The sequence below is a fragment of the Homo sapiens genome, chromosome X (genome assembly GCF_000001405.40).
Source record: "Homo sapiens chromosome X, GRCh38.p14 Primary Assembly".
Lineage (NCBI taxonomy): Eukaryota > Metazoa > Chordata > Mammalia > Primates > Hominidae > Homo > Homo sapiens.
This window is the reverse complement of record NC_000023.11, coordinates 117,930,105-117,949,832: the sequence shown is the minus strand read 5'-3', so window position 1 is coordinate 117,949,832 and position 19,728 is coordinate 117,930,105. Positions and strand designations below refer to the sequence as shown.

Below are 19,728 nucleotides of genomic sequence, written 5' to 3'. Positions count from 1 at the left end.
TTTTCATGATGATAATCTCAAGAAGCACCAAAATGTTCCCTTTTCCTTGACAATGAAATTTGACCACACCTGGGTTTCTGTATAACATGAACTGCTATTTGCAATGATAGAAACCAAGAAATTGAAGTACACATTTTATAATTGATCAAGATGATATCTTATTTTTTAAACACAATGGTACTGGTTTCAGTGGATTGTCGTGGGATTTATTTAGGTATGGAGATTGAGGAGCATTGGAAGATTATTTGTGGCTTTTGAGTCAAATGATGCAATTAAGAGATGCTTTTTCCTTCCTCATATAGCATTCCAACAAACATATTTACTATAATGAATTCTAAGAGTATATGGTTCTCTATAGAACGTCTACCAAATTAAACCTCTACAGAGGGATTCACTGAAGAAAACACATTTAAGTCAGATCAGCAGAGCACTCTTGCTTTGGCCCACCTACCAGGACATAGATACCAGGACACAATTCTTCATTGTCATGTTGCTTGCTATTAAAAAAAAACCACATTTGTCCATTTAGTGAGTTTTAAATTTCCTTTGAAAAAATCCATTTGGATGAACAATTCTATGCAGACAGTAGTAGGAGTTTATGACATGTTTGCACTAGCAATTTTGAGAGTATATCTTGTACTCTGATAATTTTGCAGGTTTAAAGATAGAATCTTTGTGCATATTCTGGAATACTGATGAGGTTGAACATTTTTGTATCTGCTAACCATTGGCACCTTGATCTTTGTGAATTGTGTGCTCATATCACTTACATGTTTCCGTTCGGGTAATTTTAAATATGTGGACATTTCGAGGCAAGATTACAATGTTGGCAGCCCTTTGTTAACATATGACAATGGCTTAGGCTTTTTTTCCTTTTGTCTTTAAATGCAGTGCAGAGAAATGCCACAGTCTGTGTATGTTTGGTTTGACCACGTTTACAATGCTTTCAGTAAAATGGTCAGACAGTGCCTCCATCTCTAAGCTAATACTCATCAAAAAAGTAGTTGTTTTCTTTGAGCAAGCACAGTTGAGTGATTCACGTACACTTTGTGAAAGATTGCTCTTGTGCTTTATGGTTGGTCATTGTTTCAAGAATAAGACGTCTGCTGTGGTGATTGGGTAGGCGGGGGGTGGCATGCAAGCAATATGCAGACTATAATATTGTAGGGAAAAGAGAGGTTTAATTTTTAGAAACAAAATTCGTTAATATAGTCTCTCCCATGAATAATCTTGTAGGGCTGGTGAAATGGGACTATTTAGACAGAATTTGCCAGATTCTAACTTAACATGTAAAAGTGGATCCAAATAACAACTGTTTTATGCAGATTTAGGAAATTATTATTCTTACATGAGCTTATGTAAAACAAAAGCTTTGCTGCATAATTTTCTTATAAACTTCAAAGCCATTATCTACTTTTTTACTCTTAGACTTGAGTTTTCAAATTGATGGGCCTGTGGAGAGCAGAGATATTCTGTTAGGTAGCCTTGGAAGAATTAGTGATAATTAATAATCCTGCTGTGTTTCATATTGCTAGCATTACCTCATGGATTCAACCCTATGACTGGGAAATTATTTAAATCATGAAATTGCTTGAGAAAAATTTTCATGAGACAGTAAATTCCTCTATATTAGGATTTCTCACCTTTGGCACTTGACTTTTTTGCCTAAGAACAGCTTTGACCTAGAGAACTGTCCTGTTTTGTAGGATGTTTAGCAGCATCCCCAGTTGTGACAGTGAAAAATGTCTGCAGACATTATGAATCATGGGGGTGGAAGGAGGGGCAAAATGCCTCCTGCTCCCCCTCCCCACATTGAGAATGACTTGTATGTATATTGTATTTAACTATATGAGTTGAAAAAACATCAGATTAAAAACTGTTATTTTTTTTCTTGGAATTACTCAGATAATCATTCCTTTAAGCATAGATTGATATAATTGTGGCTTGGGGTTTGCAGAGAAGTGTTACCTCCTTGCAATGTTGAAGAACAGTGCTCTTCACATTCAATCAATAAACTTAATAAAGGGGAGATAGATGGGAATATTGAATCTGCTAAGAAGGTTAACATGGCATGTACTGTTACCAAAGCAGAAATTAGTAGGGAGTGTTTTGAATGTTAAAAAGTCAAAAGATACTGATAAAACATCATGAAAAAGATAATTTTAGTCCAGGCTTCTTCAGCTTTTGAAGTAATTAATTAAAAAGGCAAGCATATTATGTTGGCAAGAAAGGGCTGCATTTTCACTTTTTGCTTTCTGTTTTTAAGAGCAAGAGACAAATGACAAAGTAAATAAGTTGTTACTTGTAGTTTACTCAAAAAAGCAATTTCCGGGATATGTCATTGTGGCAATGTGAATTCAGCTTTACTCCTATCCCTTTTACATCTGCAGTTTCATAAGAATGATAATTGATGGTCATTTAAGCACTGCATAATAAAGAAATGTCTTTGGAATGATCTACAGAAAGAAGATTCTGTATTCATTCAGAGGACATATATTAAGTCTTTCGTGCTAGGCTCTGTGCAGGGAATACAGAAACTAATAAAACAGTCTGCTTGAATATCCTATTAATATAATCTGGATGAATAGACATTTTCTGGTTAGGGATAACAGTCACCATCAATCAATTTCTGACTTTTCCAATTGATTCTGTAATTTTAAACGTCTGTCCACAAAAGTTGTTTAAAATTGTGTGTGTGTGCTATATATCATAAATATAACTTAATTCTCTTTAAAGCTATCTCTGAAACTCTGGTGGAAGGCTATATCCAGTTTCTTTTATGCTTTTTAAAATCTTAAGTTATTCTCTTCTTTATTAAATATCTATCAGAATTGAATTAAACATGGTTATATATTATTAATTCATTTTTGGTTATACTATGGCTCTAATATCATTAAGAAGAATTGATGTCATCCTTAAGGCCAGAATTTTTGCTAATTATTGCAAGATTTAAAACCACTTAGTTGGTGTCATAATTCAAAAAGCAGAATCTTTAGTATGGTCTTTTTCTTGTTAAAACTGATCAACTTGGGGTTTTAGGTATGACAGGAAAAAAAGGTGAAACCTTTCTGATATTGGATAGCTCAGTTAGACAGTTAGAAAAGCAAATAATTCAAAATTGAGGAAATTACAGAAAAAATGAAGAGTTCCAGCACTTGAAAATCTGCTCTCCTTCTTTTTTCCTAATGTCTATTTTAGCAGTCTTTTTAGCAGTCTGTATCATGAATGCAGAACCAAATTCATGAGCCATGGGCTCCCCACTCTTAGGCAGGTGATCCAGAGATTATTTTAGCAATGTATACCTATGGAGAAACACAAGATCTCTTCTAAGGAATGATGAAAGGTTATTAATAATGGCACATTTTTAGTATAACCTGAGATTTTTAAACTATCAAATGTATTGTCATATTCTCTTTGCATCTAAGTGACCTACTGACTAAGGTTCTCCTATTCTTACTTATGCCCCTTGAAAATACTATTGCTGCAATACATGCAAATACAGAATTGCCTGTATTTATATTTTTAGTATTCATTTCTTTGAAAAGATGGAAATGTGACTAGATTGTAGCTATTAAACAATCCCAAACTGGTAAGTGAGAGATACTGCTAGAAAAAGAAATTATATCATGTGAAAAATTTTGTTCAGTTGGGGTTGATTAGAACTACTACTAATAACAGAAGATAAAGTAATGCATTAATATATAACAATTAATCTTTTACTTTTATTAATGGGGGTTTGGAGTGGGAATCAGACTAGACCTAGATTCAAACCCTGGGCCAACCACTTTAATAAGTGGTTTCTGACCCTTCTTTAGTCTGTGTATAAAATTATTGGCAAGTACCTGCTATATAATGACTATTCAATAAATGGTAGCTATCATTTTTATCTTTTCAAAATTAGGTGTTCCAAATTAATTTTAACTATATGCAGCATAATTTGATGGCATTGCTATCTAAATAGTAACATATCAACAGTAATTACTGTGGCCTTTAAAAACTCTGTGACTATAATTTTGAACCACCTTTTAAGTTGATTTCTCAGTTATCATCTGTATATTCTGTACTTGGAAACCATTTTACAAATATACATTTCTTCTAAGATAAAGAGTGGTACAAGCGTATAATATAGTGAAACAATATTCACCATATTGCATGGTCATATGATTGCAATAGTGACTGATTATTTTTCTAAATAATCTCATTGTAAATTGTACAAGTTTTAATTTCCCCTTCTTTCTTATGTAAAAAAACTTTCAGATCTCTCGTGGAAGAGGAAGACCAACACATGAAATTGTCCCTTGGAGGCAGCGAAATGGGCCTCTCATCCCATTTGCAGTCTTCCAAGGCAGGACCTACACGCATCTTTACCAGCAATACCCACAGTTCTGTGGTGTTACAGGTAATTTAAGCTGTCTCTTTGGTAGTGTTTACGTAGCTTTAAAAAACCCACCATGGATTTTGTGATGCAGGATGTCAGTAGTGGAGGAGGTTGTGGGTGTGTATGTGTGAATAGGAAATGTATGGTAACTATTTTTTGCTCAGTTTTGCTGTGAACCCAAAATGGCTCTAAAAAATGAAGTTTATTAAGTAAAGAAACAAAAGACAAAAACTAACCAGGAGAGAAATCTTGATGGAGGAATGCACACATTCCTGAGGTTAAAAAATCCTCAGAATCAATTTTTTGTTTGGTTTGTATAAAGGACATTTTGCCAGTATGCCACTTTCTTACAGAATACCATATCTGATTTCATTCCATAGCAATCAAAGTAAGTATTACAAGGTCCCTACACTGAATTTTCCTAGTTCCTCATTCACAGCCTGTTTTACTATCATCTTTGTAATGGTTCTAAAGATTATATTTATTTGGTGTCCCAACTCGCATTGGTAGTAGTAACTGTGGGAGAAGAGGTTAGGACTGCTGGATGCAAACCCTCTGATACATGTAATAAGTAATAACTAAAATAAAAGCAGGGGACAGAAACACAGTAGAAAGCCAAAAGAACATGAAACACAGCAATCTGGAGCTATTTAGCACGGGGATTAGAAGCTTAAGTACTTCTGACCTTTGTGGACATTTTCTGACTTCTGTGGGCATTGCTGAATTAGAGAGCAATATGGTACTGGATGTCCATTAATGTCTTCTAAAGATAGTTAAATTATATTGGTCCTCTTACTACCCTTAATAAGATAAGGAAAATTTGCCTTTCTAAATGCATATTTAAAAGAAATCTCCCCAGATGGATTTCATGCATATCCCTGATCAAGAACCATTATAGTAAAGCTGTATATAGAATATAATATAATGAGGGACAAGGTTTATACTTGCTGTGCATCCTCTGTGTTTAAATGTAATTTCACCGGATTTCATTTTCCTTATCTCCAAAATGTGACTCTTGACTAGCATACCTCTAAATTTCCTGCTAGTTTCAATCTTTGAATTCAGTAAAATCCCATTTCCCCAGTATTTCCGTTTCTAATTGGAGCTGGGGTCTATCTAAGGTTCATTGTCCTGTGGGTCATCAATAGATATGTGAGTCAGGAACGAGAATCTTTCCATCTCCTGGCATCTTAAAGCTGTGTAGGGAAAAGGGAAGATGGCCGAATAGAACAGCTCTGGTCTGCAGCTCCCGGCAAGATCAACGCAGAAGGTGGGTGATTTCTGCATTTCCAACTGAGCCCCCACTGGTGATACCCGGGCAAACAGGGTCTGGAGTGGACCTCTAGCACCTCTAGCAGATCTGCAGCAGAGGGGCCTGTTAGAAGGAAGACTAACAAACAAGAAAGGAATAGCATCAAGAACAACAAAAATGGCATCCACACAGAAACCGCATCTGAAGGTCACCAACATTAAAGACCAAAGGTAGATAAATCCACAAAGATGAGGAAAAACTAATACAAAAAGGCTGAAAATTCCAAACACCAGAACACCTCTTCTCCTCCAAAGGATCACAACTCCTCGCCAGCAAAGGAACAAAAGTGGACAGAGAATGAGTTTGACAAACTGACAGAAGTAGGCTTTAGAAGGTAGGTAACAGCAAACTCCTCCGAGCTAAAGGAGCATGTTCTAACCCAATGCAAGGAAGCTAAGAACCTTGAAAAAAATTATAGGAATTGCTAACTAGAATAACCAGTTTAGAGAAGAACATAAATGACCTGATGGAGCTGAAAAACACAGCATGAGGACTTCATGAAGCATACAAAAGTATCAATAGCCAAATCAATCAAGCAGAAGAAAGGATATCAGAGATTGAAGATCAACTTAATGAAATAAAGCAAGAAGACAAGATCAAAGAAAAAAGAATGAAAAGAAACGAACAAAGCCTCCAAGAAATATGGGACTATATGAAAAGACCAAACCTAAGTTAGATTGGTGTACCTGAAAGTGATGGGGAGAATGGAACAAAGTTGGAAAATACTCTTCAGGGTATTCTCCAGGAGAACTTCCCCAACCTAGCAAGAGAGGCCAACATTCAAATTCAGGAAATACAGAGAATGCCACAAAGATACTCCTCAAGAAGAGCAACCCCAAAACACATAATCGTCAGATTCAGCAAGGTTGAAATGAAGGAAAAAATGTTAAGGGAAGCTGGAGAGACAGGTCGGGTTACCTACAAAGGGAAGCCCATCAGACTAACATCAGATCTCTCTGCAGAAACCCTACAAGGCAGAAGAGAGTGGGGACCAATATTCAACATTCTTAAGCAAAAGAATTTTCAACCCAGAATTTCATATCCAGCCAAACTAAGCTTCATAAACAAAGGATAAATAAAATCCTTTACAGAGAAGAAAATGCTGAGAGATTTTGTCACTACCAGGCCTGCCTTATAAGAGCTCCTGAAGGAAGCACTAAATATGGAAAGAAAAAACTGGTACCAACCACTGCAAAAACATACCAAATTGTAAAGATCATTGACACTATGAAGAAACTGCATCAATAAAGGGGCAAAATAACTAGCTAGCATCATAATGACAGGATCAGATTCACACATAACAATATTAACCTTAAATGTAAATATGCTAAATGCCCCAATTAAAAGACACAGACTGGCAAATTGGATAGACAAGGCCCATCGGTGTGCTGTATTCAGGAGACCCATCTCACATGCAAAGACACACATAGGCTCAAAATAAAGGGATGGAAGAATATTTACCAAGCAAATGGAAAACAAAAAACAAGCAGGGGTTGCAATCCTAGTTTCTGATAAAACAGACTTTAAACCAACAAAGATAAAAAAAGACAAAGAAGGGCATTTCATAATGGTAAAGGGATCAATGCAACAAGAAGAGGTAACTATCCTAAATATATATGCACCCACTACAGGAGCACCCACATTCATTAAGCAAGTTCGTAGAGATCTACAAAGAGACTTAGACTCCCACACAATAAGAGTGGGAGATTTTGTCACCCCACTGACAATATTAGACAGATTAATGAGACAGAAAATTAACAAGGATATTCAGGACTTGAACTCAGCTCTAGACCAAGCAGACCTAATAGACATCTACAGAACTCTCCATCCCAAATGAACAGAATATACATTCTTCTCAGCACCACATTACACTTATTGTAAAACTGACCACATAATTGGAAGTAAAACACTCCTCAGTAAGTGTAAAAGAACAGAAATCATAGCAGTCTCTGAAACCACAGTGCAATCAAATTAGAACTCAGGATTAAGAAACTCACTCAAAACCATACAAATATAGGGAAACTGAACAACCTGCTCCTGAATGACTACTGGGTATATAACGAAATTAAGGCAGAAATAAATAAGTTCTTTGAAACCAATGAGAACAAAGACACAACATACCAGAATCTCTGGGACACAGCTAAAGCAGTGTTTAGAGAGAAATTTATAGCACTAAATCCCAATAGGAGAAAGCAGGAAAGCTAAAATAGACACCCTAACATCACAATTAAAAGAACTAGAGAAGCAAGAGCAAACAAATTCAAAAGCTAGCAGACGACAAGAAATAACTAAGATCAGAGTAGAACTGAAGGAGATAGAGACACGAGGAACACTTCAATATCTCAGTGAATCCAGGAGCTGGTTTTTTGAAAAGATCAACAAAATAGATAGACCGCTAGCCAGATTAATGAAGAAAAAATAGAGAAGAATCAAATAGACACAATAAGAAATGATAAAGGGGATGTCACCACTGATCCCACAGAAAGAAACTACCATCAGAGAATACTACAAACACCTCTATGCAAATAAACTAGAAAATCTAGAAGAAATGGGTAAATTCCTAGACACATACACCCTCCCAAGACTAAACTAGGAAGAAGTCGAATCCCTGAATAGACCAATAACAAGTTCTGAAATTGAGGCAGTAATTAATAGCCTACCAACCAAAAAAGGCCCAGGACCAGACGGATTCACAGCCAAATTCTACCAGAGGTACAAAGAAGAGCTGATACCATTCTTTCTGAAACTATTCCAAACAATAGAAAAAGATGGAATATTCCCTAACTCTTTTTATGAGGCCAGCATCATCCTGATACCAAAACCTGGCAGAGACAACAAAAAAAGAAAATTTCAGGCCAATATCGCTGATCAACATAGATGCAAAAATCCTCGATAAAATGTAATCCATCACATAAACAGAACAAATGACAAAAACCACATGATTTTCTCAATAGATGCAGAAAAGGCCTTTGACAAAATTCAACACACCTTCATCCTAAAAACTCTCAATAAACTAGGTATTGATGTAAAGTATCTCAAAATAATAAGTGTTATTTATGACAAACCCACAGCCAATATTATACCGAATGGGCAAAAGCTGGAAGCATTCTCTTTGAAAACTGGCACAAGACAAGGATGCCATCTCTCACCACTCCTATTCATCATAGTATTGGAAGTTCTGGCCAGGGCAATCAGGCAAGAGAAAGAAATAAAGTTTATTCAAATAGGAAGAGAGGAAGTTAAATTGTCTCTGTTTGCAGATGACATGATTGTATATTTAGAAAATCCCATCATCTCAGCCCAAAATCTCCTTAAGCTGATAAGCAACTTCAGCAAAGTCTCAGGATACAAAATCAATGTGCAAAAATCACAAGCATTCCTATACACCAATAATAGACAAACAGAGATCCAAATCATGAGTGAACTCCCATTCACAATTGCTACAAAGAGAATAAAATACCTAGGAATCCAACTTACAAGCGATGTGAAGGACCTCTTCAAGGAGAACTACAAACCACTGCTCAAGGAAATAAGAGAGGACACAAACAAATGGAAAAACATTCTGTGCTCATGGATAGGAAGAATCAGTATCGTGAAAATGGACATACTGCCCAACGTAATTTATAGATTCAATGCTATCCCCATCAAGCTACCATTGACTTTCTTCCCAGAATTAGAAAAAAGCTACTTTAAATTTCATATGGAACCAAAAAAGAGCCCGTGTAGCCAAGACAATCCTAAGCAAAAAGAACAAAGCTGGAGGCATCCCACTACCTGACTTCAAACTATACTACAAGGCTACAGTAACCAAAACAGCATGGTACTGGTACCAAAACAGATATATAGACAAATGGAACAGAACAGAGGCCTCAGAAGTAATGCCACACATCTACAACCATCTGATCTTTGCCCAACCTGACAAAAACAAGCAATGGGGAAAGGATTCCTTATTTAATAAATGGTGTTGGGAAAACTGGCTAGCCATATGCAGAAAACTGAAACTGGACCCCTTCCTTACACCTTATACAAAAATTAACTTAAGATGGATTAAAGACTTAAACGTAAGACCTAAAACCATAAAAACCCTGGAAGAAAACCTAGGCAATACCATTCAGGACACAGGCATCGGCAAAGAGTTGATGACTAACACACCAAAAGCAATGGCAACAAAAGCCAGAACTGACAAATGGGATCTAATTAAACTAAAGAGCTTCTGCACACCAAAAGAAACTATCATCAGAGTGTACAGGAATCCTACAGAATGGGAGAAAATTTTTGCAATCTGTCCATCATACAAAGGGCTAATATCCAGAATCTACAAAGAACTTAAACAAATTTACAAGAAAAAAACAAACCACCCCATCAAAAAGTGTGTGAAGGATATGAACAGACACTTCTCAAAAGAACACATTTATGTGTCCAACAAATATATGAAAAAAAAGCTCATGATTACTGGTCATTAGAGAAATGCAAATCAAAACCACAAGGAGATACCATCTCATGCCAGTTAGAATGGTGATCATTAAAAAGCCAGGAAACAACAAATGCTGGAGAGGATGTGGAGAAATAGGAACACGTTTACTCTGTTGGTGGGTGTATAAATTAGTTCAACCACTGTGGAAGACAGTGTGGTGATTCATCAAGGATCTAGAACCAGAAATACCATTTGACCCACAATCCCATTACTGGGCATATACCCAAAGGATTTATAAATCATTCTACTGTTAAGACACATGCACAGGTATGTTTATTGCAGCACTGTTCACAATAGCAAAGACTTGTAACCAACCCAAATGCCCATCAATGATAGACTGGATAAACAAAATGTGGCACATACACACCATGGAATACTATGTAGCCATTAAAAGGATGAGTTCATGTCCTTTGCAGGGACATGCATGAAGCTGGAAACCATCATTGCCAGCAAAGTAACACAAGAAAAGAAAACCAAACACCAGATGTTCTCACTCATAAGTGGGAGGTGAACAATGAGAACACGTGGACACAGGGAGGAGAACGTCACACACCAGGGCCTTTCAGGGGGTGGGGGGCTAGGGGAGGCACAGCATTAGGAGAAATACCTAATGTAGATGATGGGTTGATGGGTGCAGCAAGCCACCATGGCACGTGTATACTTATGTGACAAACCTGCATGTTCTGCACATGTATCCCAGAACTTTAAGTATAAAAAAAAAATAAATCCCTCTAATCCTCTAATATATGAAAACGAGTCTTCGGCTATTTTTGTTTGTTATACATATGAGGATAGATTTTTAAGGTGCTCAAAAAAAAGCTGTGTAAATGGTTTACTTGTTGATTTTTCAAGTTATGGGAAGAGAGAATAAGGGGTCAAACAGATAGGAAAAGTATGTGAGGAAGAAGTGTTTTTGGTATACTAAAGTGCTCTCGCTAAAGAAAAATAAGAAATACCTCACTACTATACTCCTACCTAATGTAATGCCCATAGTAGTCATGAGTTAAAGCCAATTATTGTGGTCCTGCTAATTTTTAAAATTTACTAGAAACCGAACAATGATTGCCACTGTAGTGCAGTGAGAGATATTTAAAGCAATGGTTCTCAAATTTTAGTGCATGTCAGAATCATCAGGAGGGCTTGTTAAAACACTGAACGCTAGGTCCCAAACCAGAATTTTTTAATAAAAAACTCTGGGGATAAGGCCCAGGAATTTGCATTTCTAACAAGTTTCTAGATGATGCTGCAGATCAAGGAACATAGTTTTAAGACCATTGTTCTAGAGGTGGGACCTTCTTCCACCGAGTCATGGCCTTTTCTTTTCTCCCTATATATTTTATGGAGGTTATAAATTATTGTTACAATGGATAAACATTAGAGATAACTTAAATATCTATCAGTAGGTGAATCGTTGCATGAAATATGTTGCACCAAAACTATGCAATGCTGTGCAGCCACCAAAAAGAGTAATATCTGTACATATTGAATGGAAAGAATATAAGATACTAAAAAAAAGTAACAGGGAAAATGTGATACATCCATACAATGTAATATGATCCAGCTATTTTAAAAGATGAAGTACTAATACATGCTATCATATGGATGAACTTTGAAAACATTATGCTAATTGAAAGAGGCTAATCACCAAAGTCCGTGTTTTATGTGATTTCATGTTTTATGTGATTCCATTTGTATGAAATGTCCAGAATAAAGAAATCTATATAGACGTAAAGTAGACTATTGGTTGCTTACAGCTAGGGAAATTGGGGGGATATGAGAGTGAAAGCTAAAGGTACAGGATTTCTTTTTGCAGTGATAAAAATATTCTAAAGTTGACTCTGGATATCATTGCATATATCTGTGAATATACTAAAACCATTGATTTGTGCACTTTAAATGGGTAAATTGTATGGTATTCAAATTGTATCTCAATAAAGCTATTAAAAATGTAACAAGGCAATATGTATTGTATAATCCTTTTTATCAGTAGAAAAATTATACAATATGTATACACATGAATGTGAATGCATAGCAAATGGTATGGAAACACTAGGGAAGCTGAGGAATAATGTCATCTTTTGCTCTGTAAAATCCTATAATGTTTAATTTTTATTTACAATGGAAATATTTTTCTGCATAACCTCTGTAATAAAAAAATATATAACAGCTGACAAAACAAGTGTAACTGGGTCTCAGAGCCCTTAGCTCTGCCATGCCTTAGCTCATTGGTCCAGGCTGAGAAAGAACAGTGATGTGAAAGTAACCTGAAATTTTGTGTTACTTGAAGATAATTTTTCTTCAACTGATTTTTTATGTTGTTACAATATTTCCTGTGGTACCATAGAGATACCACTCTATGTTGCTATTAAAACCCTTCTATGCTCTATTTAAAAGTCTATTAAAAATTATGTTTTCACAAATTGAGATTTTTAAGGCCAAGCACTAACAGGGAACATTTTTGTATCAATCTTAGGTGTGGTGTTGTCAAGAGAACAAGCTAGAGAAGTGTTTAATGTGTAAATGTTATCATTGTTTTAAAATTAGCAATAACACATACTCCGGCTTCAAAAGGCATTGAAAGTAGCTGTCAGGGGAACTGATCCATGGGGAGAAACTGTTGTAATAAGCCTCACTCTGCAGGATTACCCACTGCCAAATTGTAGTGAGAAGGACATGGGTTTCAGCCAAAACTAGAATTCTAATCGTGCCCCTTATTAGCTAGTTATGTGACTTTGGGAATGTCATTTATACTCTCTGGCCCAGCTTTTTTTATTTGTAATCTGGGTAAGAGATTTGAGGATTAAGTGTCACAATTTATGGAAATAAGGTGCATAATAAATATTCATTTATTTTCCTTCCACTTGAGGTAAATGGAGAAGGTCTCACAGGGAATAGAGCTGATCAGAAGTTATGGGTATACCACAGGGAACTCCTGAGCCCCTGCGTCATTAATGGACCAGGCTCTGGCTATGGGATGTGGTTCCTCTCAGACTAGGGTCTTTCCTCTTTCTCTTTAAGTCTCACCTAGACAGAGCAGAACAGTGAGGGTAGGAGTCATGGTGTCTCCCACTGGATAAGATTGGGCAGATGGATGAGGCCACTTATTTTCTGCCAGGACTATTGAAGAAAACAGAAAATAGTTAATGAATTAAATGATTATGTATTAATATGTGATTATATAATAAAAAAAGAAGTTATGGGTATACCGAATAAGGTGTCCATCTGGTTGGCTTGAGCAGGCGGTTGGCTTGAGCAGGTCTAGCAGGTTACTCATCTCCATTAAATGGCTTCAGCAAACTAGGCTGTCAAAGAAAATTCCTAGAAAGTCATTTGATACCTAACAGGCTTGGATTCCTAGAATCTTGAACAAGTTCCAGGATAATCCATGACTGAGTTGGCAGGGCAAATGACTTTTACTCAAGTAAGAAAGATTAACTAAGGTTAGCTTAAGTAGTGATTGGTAAAATCAAGGATTATTTCATTTCCCTCACTCCTTGGCTACTACTACATCTGTGGTTATTTCTCATGGAAACCTTCTATTCTTTCACTTCTCCCTATTATTCCAGGTTGTCAGCATCTTTCTCTTACTGTCCTATCATATGGTAATTCACTGAATGATAACTTTCCTAGCACCTTCAGTTTTTAAAATAATAGCTTTATTGAGATATGATTCACATACCATATAATTCACCCATTTATTGTGCAAATCAATGGCTTTTAGTATATTCACAGGATTGTGCAACTGTCACCACAATCAATTGTAGAACATTATAATCACCTCAAAAAGAAGCCCATATTTGTTAGCAGTCACTCCCCAGTTGCCCCCAACTCTTTTCTCAATATGGCAACTGATTGGTTTGGCTCTGTGTCCCTACCTAAATCTCGTGTCAAATTGTAATCTCCAGTGTTGGAGGAGGGGCTTGGTGGGAGGCAATTGGATCATGAGGGTGGATTTCCCTTTTGCTGTTCTCGTGATAGTGAGTGAGTTCTCAAGAGATCTAGTTGTTTGAAAGTGTGTAGCACCTCCCCCTTCACTCTCTTCCTCCTGTTCTCACCATGTCAGATACGCCTGTTTCACCTTCCGCCATGGTTGTACGTTTTCTGAGGCTTCCACAGCCATGCTTCCTGTATAGCCTGTGGAATGATGAGCCAATTAAACTTCTTTTCTTTGTAAATGACCAGTTCCAGGTATTTCTTTATAGCAGTGTGAGAATGGATTAATACAGCAACCATTTATCTTTTCTCTGTTTCTGTAGATCTGTCTATTCTGAGCATTTCATATAAATGGAATCATACAATATGTGGTCTTTTGTGACTAGTTTCTATTACTTACCATAATGTTTTCAATGTTCATCTATATTGTGGCATATAACATGCTTCCTTCCTTTCTGTGTTCAAATAATATTCCATTGTGTAGATATTTTGTTTATGTATCCATTCATTGATAAGCATTTTTTTCATACATTTTGGCTTTTATGAATAAAAGCTATGAATATTCATGTGTAAATGTCCGTGAGGACATGTTTTCATTTCTTTTTGGTATATACCTTAGAGTGGAATTACTGGATCCTATGGTAATTCTGTCTAATTTTTTGAAGAACTGCCAGTGTTTTCCAAAGTATCTGCACCATTTTATATTCACACTGGCAGTGCATGAGGGTTTTAATTTCTCCACATTCTTAACAGCATTTATTAACTGTCTTTTTAAAATTATTATAGCCATCCCTGTAGATGTGAAGTAGTTTTGATTTGCATTTCTCTGATTGCTAATCATGTTGAATATCTTTTTTTTTTATGCTTATGGCCATTTGTATGTGATTCTGGAAGAAAAAAAATCTTATTCTTGTTCTGTGCCAAGTCACCAGGAAAGAAGAAAACAAACCAAAACAAAAGAAAAAGAAATCCTTTACCCATTTTTCAGTTGGGTTGTTTATCTTTTTATTACTCAGTAGTAAGGGTTCATACACACATATATATTATATTACATATATGTGTATATATATATTTTACATATATATGTATTCTAGATACAGATCCCTTATCTGATACATGATTTATAAGCATTTTCTCCAAGCACCTTCAGCTTTATGGTCCCTTCTTGTTCTGCTAATTGCTTTGCCATTCTCCAATTCTTTATCCATTCAGCCATATAATCTTTGCTTCTGTATTATCTTGGCAAAGTTAGTAGGAGAGAGGGTCAAGGAAAATGCCTAGAAGGGTTTGGATTTTTCACTATTCCCTAAACATATATTGTGTGTTCATATGCCAGTGCATTTGTACACATTACCTCTCCCTGGAATGCCCTTACTTCACTTTTCCTGTCTGATAAACCTCAATTTATTTATAATGACCTTTCTTTCTTTTTAAAAATTATTTATTTTTAGTTTAGATTCAGGGGGATGTGTGCAAATTTGTTACATGGGTATACTGTGTGATGCTGAGGTTTGGGCTTCTAATGATTCCATTGCCCAAGTAGTGAACATAGTACCCAATAGGTAGTTTTTCAGCCCTTCTCCCATTTCTCCCTTCCTCCTTTTAGAATCCCAGTGTTTATTATTTCCATTTTTGTGTCCATGTGTACCCAATGTTTAGCTCCTACTTATAAGTGAGAACATATAGATATTTTAGTTTCTGTTTCTGCCTTAATTTGCTTGGGATAATGGCCCCCAGCAGTATCCATGTTGCTGCAGAGGACATGATTTCATTGTTTTTTATGGCTGTATAGTATTCCATGGTGTATATGATCCATCTTAAATGGATGGTACCTCTTCTGTTAAACTTTTCTTGACCCAAGCAGAGTTAGTAGCTTCTTCTATTCATACATTTTATCTGTTATAAATATCACCTATCAGTGAGCTCCTCAAGGTCTAGGATCTAAGTTGTTGTTTCTGTATGCCTATGATCAGTACATGATGCTGCTTAATAAATGTCCACCTTTTGTATTATTAACATACTAGTTATCATTAAAAGAGATGCTACTTTGCTATAAAGAAGCTTTTTAGTTTGATGTACTCTCATTTGTCTATTTGCTTTTGTTGCTTCTGCTTTTGAGGACCTATTAAAAAAATCCTTGCCCAGCCTAATTTCATGAACATTTATCCTGTATTTTCTTCTAGTAGTTTCAAAGTTTTGGATTTTACTTTTAAGTATTTAACCTATTTATAGTTGGTTTTTGTGTGTGGTGAGAGACTAATTTCATTCTTCCATATGTGGATATCCAGTTTTCCTGGCACCATTTATTGAATAGACTGTCCTTTCCTCATGTGTGTTCTTGGCACCTTTATTAAAAAAATCACTTGGCTGTAAATACATGGATTTATTTCTGGGTTCTCTGTTCTGTCCCATTGGCCTGTGGGTCTGTTTTTATGCCAGAATCAGGATGTTTTGTTTACTATAGCTTTGTAGGATATTTTGAAACCAGACAGTGTAATGACATCAATTTTTTTATTTTTGCTCATGATTGCTTTGGCTCTTCAGGCTCTTTTGCATTTCCAAATGAAGAGACAACCTACAGAATGGGAGAAAGTACTTGCAAACTATGCATCTGATAAGAAGTTAATATCCAAAATGTATAAGGAACTCAACAGCAAAAAAAAAAATAAATTATCCAATTAAAAATGAGCAAAAGACCTGAATAGACATTTCATTTCTCAAAATAAGACATACAAATGGCCAACAGATATATGGAAAATTACACAACAACACTAATTATCAGAGAAATACAAATCAGAACCACAATGCAAAATCATCTCATCTCAGTTAGAATGGTTATTATAAAAAAGGCAAAATATAACAAATTCTGGTGATGATGTGGAGAAAAGGGAACTCTTAAATACTGTTGGTGGAAATGTAAATTAGTACAGCAATGATAAAAAATAGTATGGAAGTTCCCAAAAAACTAATAATGGAACTACCATATGATCCAGCAATCCCATTACTGGGTATATATCCAAAGGAAATCAGCATGTTGGAGAGACATTGGCACATTCATGTTTATTGCAGTAGTGTTCACAATAGCTAAGACGTGGAATTAAACTAAATGCTTGTCTACAAATGAATGGATAAAGAAAAAAATTTTATATCTACATCTATATATAAATGTGATACAGATAGATAGATACAATGGAATACCATTAAGGAATAAAGTAGAATGAAATCCTGTAATTTGTGGCAGTATGGATGAACCTGGAAGACATTATGTTAAGTGAAATAAATCAGGCAATGAAAGAGAAATACTGCATGTTCTCACTCATATTTGGAATCTAAAAACGTTAATCTCATAGAAGTAGGGTAAAATAGTGGTTACCAGAGACTGGGGAGGGTAGGGGAGAGGAGAGGACTGGGAAAGATTGGTCAATGAGTACAAAGCTACAGTTAGGAAGAATAAATTTTGGTTTTCTGTTACACAGTAGGGTGACTATAGTAAATAACAATGTAATATATATTTCAAGAAAGCTACAAGAGAAGATTTTGAATGTTATTGCCACAAAGCCACAAAGAAATGATAAATATTGCAGATGATGGATATAATAATTACCCTGATTTGTTCATTATACTATGTATACATGCATTGAAACATCACATTGTACCCCATAAATATGTACAATTATTATGTGTCAATTATAATTAAAAATTAAATTTTAATAAGAAATAATACATATAAAGAGCTTAGCCCTGGGATAGAGAAAGTGCTCAGTGTCTTTTTAATGCTATTATTGATGTTGTTTGTGAAATAAATTAATTTGGATGGCAGCTTATAAATCACTTTCATATATACTTTCCTCATTGATACTTGAAAAAAATGCTATGAGGTACAAAAGGCAAGAATTGTTATCTCCATTTTATAGATAAGGACGCTGAAGCTCAGGGAGATTAGGAGGCTTGCCCAAGTTCACATAGCCAGTAAGTGATAAATACTGAGACAGATTTGATGATGGTGTAGTTTTGTATTTTTATTTCTACTAGTCTTGCTCTAAATTGTCTTACCTTTTAAAATACAATGTCTATAAATATTGTGTTCATTAACTATAAATGTAAAAACATGTATTAGCAAAGGCTAAAAGATAGTTTGGAATGAATGATATAATAAATATTTTATTCTTGATAGAAACAGCAGAATTACACAGAATGTCTTCTTGCTGGCTTGCCTTTCTTCCGTTCACCTACTGAAAAGAGAAAAAAAAAATCAGGGAGAAAAATGTTAACTGCCAGTTGAAAACATCCCTTTCATCCTTAAGACCTGGAGGCCATAACGAGGGTATCATGCTTCAGCTGGTGGCAGTGTATATTAATTACAGAATACTTAGGTATATGGAAACAAATCATTTCCTGATTACTGGCGATACTCAAACCTATAAAGGTGGAAAATGCCTCGTTACTCTGGCTATGTGGGCCTCTAGTTGATATTTTCTCATTTTAAGATTGGTGCCTATTGGACTGCTCTTTTTGTGTTTTCCTCACTTATAGCTATTTACTTTCTCTCTTCATTTTTAGTTCTAAAGTCAATGTAGGATATCATTTTATAGTCTTATCCTCTAGCTAATAGAATGTTAAAGAAATGGGTTATTGTAAGAGCCTATACAGATTAACACGTGTTGCCTTTCCCTGGGTTAATTTCTCTGAATGTTTATCCTGAGGTAAATGCTTGGGTTGCTGATAATGTCATGTTGATGAAGTATATCCTTTTTTCTCAACATTATGATCATAAAATAAACAACTTTAAAAATATAATGTTAGTACGTTGTTAACATAAGAAACAGGCATAATGATTAAGATAATTTACATTTTATAAAATAAGAGTTCAAATAGTCTAGATTCTTGTGGTTTTTATGAAAATGATACTTTTAATTTCTTTTCATTTCCTGAATGGCAGCTAGAATATAGGGAAATGAGTCCATAGTTTTTCTTGGGCATAGCTCTTGGGGCACTCAGGTTGGGGTACAATAAGTTATTCTTATTCTTCGAATTGACTGTGCATCTTTAGGATAAAAGTTGGAAGACTGTCTGCCGCTTTCCCTTTTTAGGCCACTTCAGTGTGTTCTTGTCCTGCTCTCTCAATTGAGTATTTTTGGTTATTTGCTAGTGTCGAAGTGATAGAGAGGGCTATCACATACCAACTTGAAAGTCAACTATGCTGGAATACATAATTTGAATTTCTGATTGTTGCTAGTATACAGTAATACAGTTTGTTATTAATTATTGATCTGGCATTGTGCAACCTTGGTAAACTGACTTATCAGTTCTAGCAGCTTTTTTGGTAGATTCTATAGGTTTTCCTATATAGGCAATCATTTTGCCTATAAATAAGCCTGCCTGCCTGCCTGCCTGCCTTCCTGCCTTCCTGCCTTCCTGCCTGCCTGCCTGCCTGCCTGCCTGCCTTCCTTCCTTCCTTCCTTCCTTCCTTCCTTCCTTCCTTCCTTCCTTCCTCCCTTCCTTCCTTCCTTCCTTCCTTCTTCCTTTTCATCCTTTCTTGCCCTCCCTTTCTTTTCTTTCCCCTTTCTTCCTTTCTTTTTCTTTCCTCTTTTCTTTTTTCTTTCCAGTCTGATGCCTTTTTTTTCCTTACCT

At 35.7% G+C, this 19,728-nt stretch overlaps 1 protein-coding gene across 9 annotated transcripts in view; it reads left to right on the top strand.

The window, feature by feature from the left end:
* KLHL13 (kelch like family member 13) overlaps window positions 1-19,728 on the top strand; it is a 219,528-nt gene that overhangs the window by 167,508 nt on the left and 32,292 nt on the right. For all 9 annotated transcript variants that reach the window (NM_001168301.2, NM_001394866.1, NM_001168303.4 and 6 more), the window contains one exon: window positions 4,258-4,399. In NM_001168301.2, coding sequence (NP_001161773.1) covers window positions 4,258-4,399 — 142 coding nt within the window. The remainder of the gene's footprint in view (window positions 1-4,257; window positions 4,400-19,728) is intronic.